Raw genomic sequence first — 9,548 nt, 5'->3', positions numbered from 1 at the left:
GAAAGAGGTTGCAGAATAGCAGAATGATAAAATAGAGACTGATTTCTACTTTATTCTAAATTAATATATACAAAATATTCTAGCAATTGACTGGCTTTTTGAGATTAGTGTGTAATCTCCCAAAGTATTTTAAATCACCAGTACCCAACATTTTGGGCACCAGGGACCAGTTTCATGAAAGACAATTTTTCATGGGATAGGGGAGGGAGGTGTTTCAGAATGAAACTGTTCCACCTTAAATCATCAGGCATTAGATTGTCATAAGGAGCAGGCCATCCAATCTCTCACATGCACAGTTGACAATAGGGTTTGGGCTCCTATGAGAATTTAATGCTGCCTCTGATTTGACAGGAGGCAGAGCTCACCTACCACTCACCTCATGCTGTGTAGCCCGGTTCTTAACAGGTTACAAACCAATACTGGTCTGCAGCCCAGGGAATGGGGACTCCTGCTTTAAATTATAAAACTTAATTACATGGTAAGTTTTAATGCATATATTTAAAACTTTTGTTTTGGAATGTGTGTGTGTGCAGATATACTATACAGTGATAATATGTTAAATGTAATCTGCTAATATTAAAAACTCACAACTGTATAGATGGATGTCAAGACAATATACAGCACCATGCAAATTAAGCAGTGTATAAAACATATTTAAAACCAACTGAGAAAAACATCAAATTTCTAGTCATGTCACTTACTAGGGGTATTAACCAGCATTTATGGTTGAGCACATGAGAAATCTGACTTAAGCATTAAAAAAAGCATTTACCAATGCAGAAATGCAAAGAAACCTGCAGAAATGGGCATGGATGATAAAACAGGAAGAAGAGATGGCAAAACATCAACGGTCACAGCAAACATACTCCAGGACTTTCCAGTGGGGCCACAACACTTTTGACCATAGAGATTGCAATGCTGTACCCACAGGCATTGGCTTTGGATGACAATTGTCAAGTTTGCTTGTCAGTGCTGCCACTGCCTCTCTGAGGACATAATATTGCCTCATTGCTACTCTATCTTCCTTGAAAATGATTGCAGTGTGGTCCGTGCTTCTGGTTGTCACTGGCTCCCAATTCAGTCTGGTTTCCTGCTCCTAGCTACAAGTGGTAGTGGACCCTTTTTTTCCTACCAAGACTTTATAGGAAGGAAATAGGGCTTTGTGGCTTCTTCTTTTCCCATCCTTCCTGATGTCCCTCTTTCCTTGGACCAAACAAACAAAAACATATTTTGAAAAACTGAACTATTTTTCTTTTCTGAAAACACATTTTGGTAGTCTAAAATGGATTTAAAATTCTTTACTAATTCAATTACAATGCATAGATTTATTTTATAAATTATCAATTAATATAATGAATAGATCAATGGAAAGATCACATTACCTGAACATTCCTATGTGTTTTTTATAGTAACATTGAGGTTCTGTCTCAAACTTACAACAGCAAGAAGTAACATACAATTCAGAAACAATGAAAATATAGTAAAATAGAAATACAGCTATAATATTCCACAGAGTGGAAAAGTTAATAATGAACAAATAGAATTCCCTTAAAATCCCAGTTATTAAGAAGTTTATTCTTAACGGAGTGCAGTGGCTCACACCTATCAACTCAGTTAATTAGGATGCTTAGGCAGGAAAATTGCTTGAGTCCAGGAATTTGAAACCAGCCTGGACAACAAAGGGAGGCCCCATCTCTAAAAATATGCAAAATAAAATCATTTTGTGGATGTTGTGGTGCACACCTGTAGTTGTAGCAACTCAGGAGGCTGAGGTGGGAGGATTGCTTGAGCACAGGAATTGGATCAATCACATCCCAAACCTCAGCATCACACAATATACCTATGTAACAAACCAGCACATGTACACAATGAATATAAAAAAAGAAAAAAGTGAAACAATTGTTCACAATTTGAAAAAAAGAACTTTTCCTTTATACTATTTTTTCACTCAAGCAAATTTAAATGAAATGGCAAAATGCAATAAATTATTAGTCTTGTAAGTGAGCTTCAAGGTAGTTAAATATGAAATAATGAAATAACACATCATAAAATATCTAAAAATAAAAGGCACAAAAATGTATAACCTGAAGTTTATCATGAGGAATAATTAAATAAAAACAGAGGGACATTGTACAAAATAACTGGCCAGTGCTGTTCAGAAGTGTCAACATCATGAAAGAATAAAAGGACTGTGGAATATTCCAGAATAAATGAAGCTAAGAAGATATAACAATTAAATGAATTCAGACACAGAAGACAAGACAGTAGAAAGAGACAATGACAAAATGAGCATCCCATGTGTGGATTAATCACTTACAGCTTCACATCAGTTCTAACTTCCCAGTTTTGAAAATTGTACTCTTGCTATGTAAGATGTTAACATATGGGGGAGCTGAGCATATGGCATGTGAGAATTCTTTGTCCTGATTTTGCAACATTTTATAATTGCAAATTAAAATTAAAACTGTTTAAAAATTAAGTTAAATAAGTCAAATTTTATAAATTAAATAAATGAACAAGCAGAATAAATATAATTGAAATCATGCACCTCTATAGACAGTTTTTTTTCTAACTGGGTTAAATATATCTGGAATTAGACTTTACTTAAACACTCTGTGTATTGATATAAACCTTATTCTTGGTGTCTCAAATATTCACAGAATTCCAAAACAAGTAGATGCATTTAATGGGTGTTCTGTACACAGACAGTTTAAAGTACATTCAACACGAAATTGAGATAAATAAAGATTTTTAATTTATACTTTTATTTTCTTAACGACATAAAATAATGAATAACAGGCTGGGCTCAGTGGCTCACGCCTGTAATCCCAGCACTTTGGGAGGTCGAGGCGGGCGGATCACGAGGTCAGGAGATCGAGACCATCCTGGCTAACACGGTGAAACCCTGTCTCTACTAAAAATACAAAAAATTAGCCAGGCACGGTGGTGGGCGCCTGTAGTCCCAGCTACTCGGGAGGCTGAGGCAGGAGAATTGGCGTGAACCCGGGAGGTGGAGCTTGCAGTGAGCCGAGATCGCTCCACTGCACTCCAGCCTGGGCGACAGAGCAAAACTCCATCTCAAAAAAAAATAAATAAATAAAAAATAATGAATAACAAATCATGAGCCTTTTTAAAAGGCTAATAAAACAAACATATTTTATTTATATTCTTCATTACCCATAAAACAAATTGTAAACTCTGAGGTTAAATGGTGCAAACTTGTGGATGACATGAGGTTTTGGAGGCCTGAATGAAAGCAACTGCTCTTAAGATGCACACACTGGACCAATAAGAGGAATATTTAGGGTGCAATATTTCAGAAAACCATGTTTTCCCTAGAATAAAAGAAATAAAACAGTTTGCTCTTCACCCCCAATCTATTTAGAGCAATTTGTCCCATCCCACTGCTGATATTTCAGTCAAATTTTGTGACTTTTTGCTATTTTTGTTTGTTAAAATTTAGGGTGTTAAAAAATCTATATCCAGTTCACAACTTAGTCAATGTAAATTTAATCTTCATATGAGGATTGTCTTGCTTCTTGAAGGTTCTTCCCTCTCCCTCCTTTACCTTGGATTGGCATCCAAGTCTGAGCAAAATTGAGACATTACTGATGGCAGAGGCGGCCTGTCTGCACAGGCCACTGCCATGAGGCCAGGTGCAGTAGGGGAGGCGTGGCTGGGGCTGGATCCCGGACCTGGGAACAGGGGGTAGCCCCACCTGCTTCTGAGTTTGAGGAGCAGGATTCCCACCCTCTTGGGCACAACTGCAGCAATAGGCGGCTGCAGACCTGGGCAATTCTGCCTCATGGGGACCTGTGAAGCTCACCTCCCCCTATAGGATCAGAAGTGCCTGATTCCACTAACCTGGCCTCTCCCAGCTCTCAACACCCCTCCGATTTCGGAACAAAGTTGAGGCTAAGCCCAGGTGCTGTCACAACCCAGCCGGCTGTGTGCGCACTTGGGAAAGTGCTAACACACCATCCCCCTGCCTCACTGGCCCTCCCTAGACATTGATTGGTTGTCGAAGAGCATGGGAAGGCCATGGGGGCACTGAGGGCAGCTCCACGTGGGCCTGCAGGTGCCCCTTGGCACCAACAGCCAGGGAGCTGTGGGCATTGTGGACGGCAGTTTGATGGTGGCAAGACGCAGATAGGCTCCTGGGTGGAAAGGGGCGGGTCCAGGTGAAGCTCCACCTTCAAGCCAGGGATGACCTGAATCCTGGGGACCAGGCTGCCAGTTCCAGGGACCAGAGTGAGAACTTATAGTGTTTTGTCTGGTCCCACCATGGCCGCCCATGGACCAATCAGCATGTACTTTTTCCCCTCTGAAGCCCGTAATAGCCCCAATCTCCACTAGACTTGGGTAGACAATTGTACGACCTGCCTGTGGATAGGAGCTTCCCACTTCAGGTCTCCACTTCCCTGAGGGCTGCATAGATGATGGGATAACCTGTCTGAGAATAGGAGCTATGAACTCCAGGTCTCCTTTTTGCTGAGGGCTGCACAGATGTGGGGATAACCTGCCTGCAGATAGTAGCTCCCCACCTTGAGTCTCTTGAGAACTCTTTGAATAGGAGCTACCCACTTTGGGTCTCCTGAGAGCTGTTCTACCTCTCAATGAAGCTCCTCTTCACCTTGCTCGCCCTCCAGTTGTCTGCTTACCTCATTCTTCCTGGACATGGGAGAAGAGCTCAAGACCCAGTGAACAGCAGGACTAAAAGAGCTATAACACAAACAGGGCTGAAACACAACCCCCCATACACACTTGCCACATTATGGGTGACAAGGAGAGAAGAGCTGTGGCTCTTTGGGGAGCTCAGATGTAGGGGCTCCCCAAGCCAGGCCTGTGACACCCTCTTTGAGGTTCTGCAGTTCCTGGCATCTCCAAGCTTCTGGTGTCACCCCTTCCCCTTGTCCAGGTGCAGGTGCCCACAGCCCATGTGCAATATACCTAGTGTAGCTGCAGCCTCGCATGGAGCTGGAACCTGTCACAGTGCCTGGAACTGCCTGCCCCAACTCAGCAGCCAGCATGCCTGGCTGTGACAGTGGCTGAACACCTCACTCACTCGCCCACACACCCTTTGCCACTCTGCACCTGGACTCGAGCAAAAGGTGCTGCCAGCCACAGAGGCTTCTCTCAGGCAAATCTACACTCTTAAGGATCCTGTGACATTACAACATAAGGTAATGGTCAGTGTGTTTTGGTCCCTATTTTCTCTCTGCTGATTGCCATCATTGGCTTATCTTGTTGCATTCTGTTTTGTGAAAGACCTCCAAACGTTTCCTTAAAAGAGCTGCACAGTCTGATATAGATTATGTTTGGCAGAAATCCCTCTGTGTTGATGATACCCCTGGGAGACTCAGCTACCCCTTCTTTTTGAGACTGTCAGGCAGAATCATGCTCTCATTCCTTCGATGGCTCTGTTTTTTTTGTCTCATGTTGATATTCTCTGGCAAGCAGACAGACCCACTCTCATGTAACTTCTGTGCTTTCATTGTCCAGAGAAATTGTTACTATCCTGTTTCACATTATTTGAGGACATACATAAGAAAATTAGGGGAAAAGTGGTGACTGCAATCCTTCCTCTTCCACATGGCCACAACCTCTACCATTTCTCTCTCGTTATTGTGTCTCCTCTTTCCCTTCATCTTATAGAGTATTTCCCTTTCATTCAAAGAGACTGCCTATCACTGATTTCTACTCAGGAAAGGAAAAGTAGCAGATCCTTCTTTTTCCTTAGATATAAAATCACTTAGTAGGAAATCCTCCCATTCCCTATCCAGCACTCTATCTTGGCTAAATAATGAAACTTTCATGTGTCATGAATTCCCATTTTACATTTCATACTAATGTGTTCCAAAAAAAAGATAATAATGTGGCCTGGTTCAATTAATACTTAGTGAAAGTAACTTCTGACTTTGAATAATAATCTATAATCTATTAGTGAGGTAAAATGACAGCATGAGTTCCCCTGAATATTGTTGAGAATTGTAGATTTATCAGAATATGATTTCCTATTACTGTGACTTCCTATCTTTCCCCTCATTGGTACTCTGATTGGATTCCCTTATCTTGTCTTCTTACACAATGACATGAAATAATCAAGGGATGTCCTACTCTTTGAGGTGTAGTACCCCACTTCAGCTTGCATCAGCTGATATTTAAAAGTAACAATCTGGAAATATCAGAGATATGGGGCAGGATTGCTAATGGTTAACCACCATTAGTAGTTTTATCTGGCAGGAGTTTGTTTTCACAGAAGCTGAGTTTTATTTAGTTTTGACTCATTGAGCCTGAAATGCTTAGAGACACTTCAGGGAACTTAGCTCCCTGCTGTTCAAATGGCAGGGCTCAGTAAATGAGTTCCTTAGGTAGATGCCAGCACATGCTGCTTTAGATTGTAAGATTACATTTTAAAATCTACCAAAAAATTATAGGACCAGGTTTTAAAATGAAAAGGAGTATTAGTGACTGCCCTGAGTTCCTTATAATTGATGGAGATTTATCATAAAGACATTTAGGATTCTTAACCCTTCCATATTTTCATTCTTAATGTTTCAATATTTTGTTAATATCACCACATCTGTATATACTATGACATACTGGTTTATTCAAAATTAACAAAAACAATGCAATATCATAAAATAATTAATATTTTAACAGCTGATGGTAACAAATGTCACCTTCTTGAGAATGTCTAAATCAATATGCAAGTTTTAGCATTGTCTACATTTAAAAAGAAAAAATGCTAGATATATAATTAAAATGTACAGCAAATATAAATATGTATGAAATTTTATGCCATGGAATATAAAAATTCAATTAGAAACATGTCCTCAATGAAAATCAGAAAAAAATCCCCTCAAACGTATATATTTTAAAACATACATCATTTTGCCTCGTTGAAATGGGAAGTAGAATAAGATGTTTACATAGATAAATAAGTAAAATTATTTGAATCACATGTATTTCTTAAAAGTTTTTTAGTCAACATTATTGTGGTATAATTGACATTTAATGAGCTGCATATGTTTAAATTGTACAATTTGACATTATGGCATACATATACACCATGAAACTATTACCAAAATACAGATACTCAATGTGTGTATTACTACATGTGTTTCCTCATGTCCTGTGTAATTATTCCTTCTCTGCCACAACTATCCCTGTCATCAAATGTCCAGGAAACCACAGATCTTTCTTTGGCTATGCAACAGTTTGCATTTCCTAGAATTTTATACAAATGAGGTCACAGGGTATGTACCTTTCTTTGGATTGTATCATTCAGCATAATTAGATTTCACATAAGCAACAGCAGTGTTTGAGTTCCTCCATTCCAAAAATTAATATAAACTGTCTTTTAATTTTTAGCCATTGAAGTAGTTGTACAGTAATATCACATTGCAGTTTTAATATGCATTTACCTAATGACTAATAATGTTGAGCCTTTTTTCAGGTGCTTACTTGGCATCTGAATATCATCTTTGGTAAAATACGTGTTTTTATCATTGAACAATTTGATTTTTTAATTGAATTATTTTCCCTTTATTGACTGTTTTTTATATACTCCACTTATGTATATTATTAGATACTTGATTGGCATTTTACTAAAACAGTTTAAACATTTTTTTCTTATTTTAATGAGGTTCATTTTTGTAATGTGCTAATTTCCTAGTCTAATCCAAGGTCACAAAGGTTTCTCCTATGTTCTTTCAAAAGTTTAGAACTTTAGCTCTTATTAAGGTATGTGTTCCAGTTTGAGTTAATTTTTTATATAGAGTGAAACATGTCTGAGTTTGTTTAATTTTAGTTTTTACATATGCATTTCCAATGGAAAATTCTCTGCCTTTTAATTGGTGTATTTAGACAATTTACATTTAATGTGGTTATTGATTTGATTAGGTAGAAATTTATCATCTTGCCATTTGTTTTACATTTATCTTCTTCACTTCTTTTTTCCCTTTTATTTTTGTGTTTTAGTGATTAATTCAATAAATTGAATGCTTCTACTTTATCTTCTTTGCTGGTTTAGCAACTATAACCTTTTGTTTTATTTTAGTGGTTGCTTTTCTATTTATAGTATAGATTTCTTATTATTATAAGAAATCTTTAGGTAATATTATAACACTTAGCCTATAGTTTAATACTATAAGTAAAAAAGTTTCATTTCTCTCCATTAGACTTTTGCGGTAATATTGATGTGCACTCTACACAATACATTGTTATTTTTATTGTTTAAATTGTTGATTATATTTGAAAAATATTTATATAGCAAGATAATGTATTCATTTTATCTGGATCTCATATATTTACCAAGGAAGCTGTCATTTCTTATTCTGTCCTTGGAGTAGATCCATATTCCCATCTTGAATCATTTTGCATTTTCTTAAAGGAATTCCTTTAACATCTTAAAGTTGGGTCTGCTCATCACAGATTATTTCAACTGTTGAACGTCTGAAAGTCCTTATGATGCCTTAATTTTTGAAAGATATTTTCTCAGTATAAAACTCTATGTTCACATAAAGTTTTTTCTTCCAATACTTTAAAGAAGTTGTTTTCATACATTAAAGAGTTTGTTCTATTCTCTTTTTACTTGCATGCTTTTAGTAAAAATTTTGTCATCCCCTCTATTTTTGTTTCTCTATATTTTTTTCTTTGGATGCTTTTACTATCACCTGATTATAGGTTTTGAATGATTTATTATGATATATATTCATTTAGTTTTCTTGATATTTCTCTTGTGTTTGAAGTTTGAATTTCTACAAGTCTTGAGTTTATAGTTATTATCCAATTTGTAATATTTAGAGTTATATTATTTTAAAAATATGCTGTTCTTTCTATAAAAACTAGACATTTTAGGATATTATCAAGTCTTAACTAAGAATTTGGTGGGTTTGGCGAGAAGTGTACCATGGAGTAGTTAAAGACTATATTTCCTGATTGACTTGAAGACAGAAGGGTGGTTGAATGTAGTCTTGAAGTGTACACTATAATAAATTAGAAAAATAAACTAGCTTTGGTTATGCCAAATTTGAAATATTTTGTTAACAATGGAAACCATTTAAAAATGTATGTCAAAACCATAATTAACTCAAGGCACTCAGAAAGAATTCTAGGACTTGATGGGAAGCAATTTTTAAGCAGAAAACCTGAAGTGCAGTCTGGATAGGAGGATGAAAATGTGTGAAAGATTTTATGATATACTTAACTCTTTTGTTTTTTCACACACCTGATTCAATTCATCCAGAAATTATTTTGACCATGGCTTAAATATAACCAGATTCCAACCACTTAATACCTCTAGGCCTACCATTCTGAGCCAAGTCACCCATTAACTTTTATTAGGAAATACTCTAACTCCATACATTATCTCTCTGCTTCTGCTCTTGCTTCAGTTAGTCTCTTCTAAGCATAGCAGCTACACAAATCATTTACAAATTCTAAGCCAAATATTACAATTTCCTTACCAACATCCAATTTATTTAGTGTAAAATCCAATATTCTTACACTGGCCTATTAGCCAGGCCATGGATCTAATTTTCCAT

This window comes from Homo sapiens, chromosome 1 (assembly GCF_000001405.40).
Source record: "Homo sapiens chromosome 1, GRCh38.p14 Primary Assembly".
NCBI lineage: Eukaryota > Metazoa > Chordata > Mammalia > Primates > Hominidae > Homo > Homo sapiens.
Note: the sequence above shows the minus strand (reverse complement) of the source record.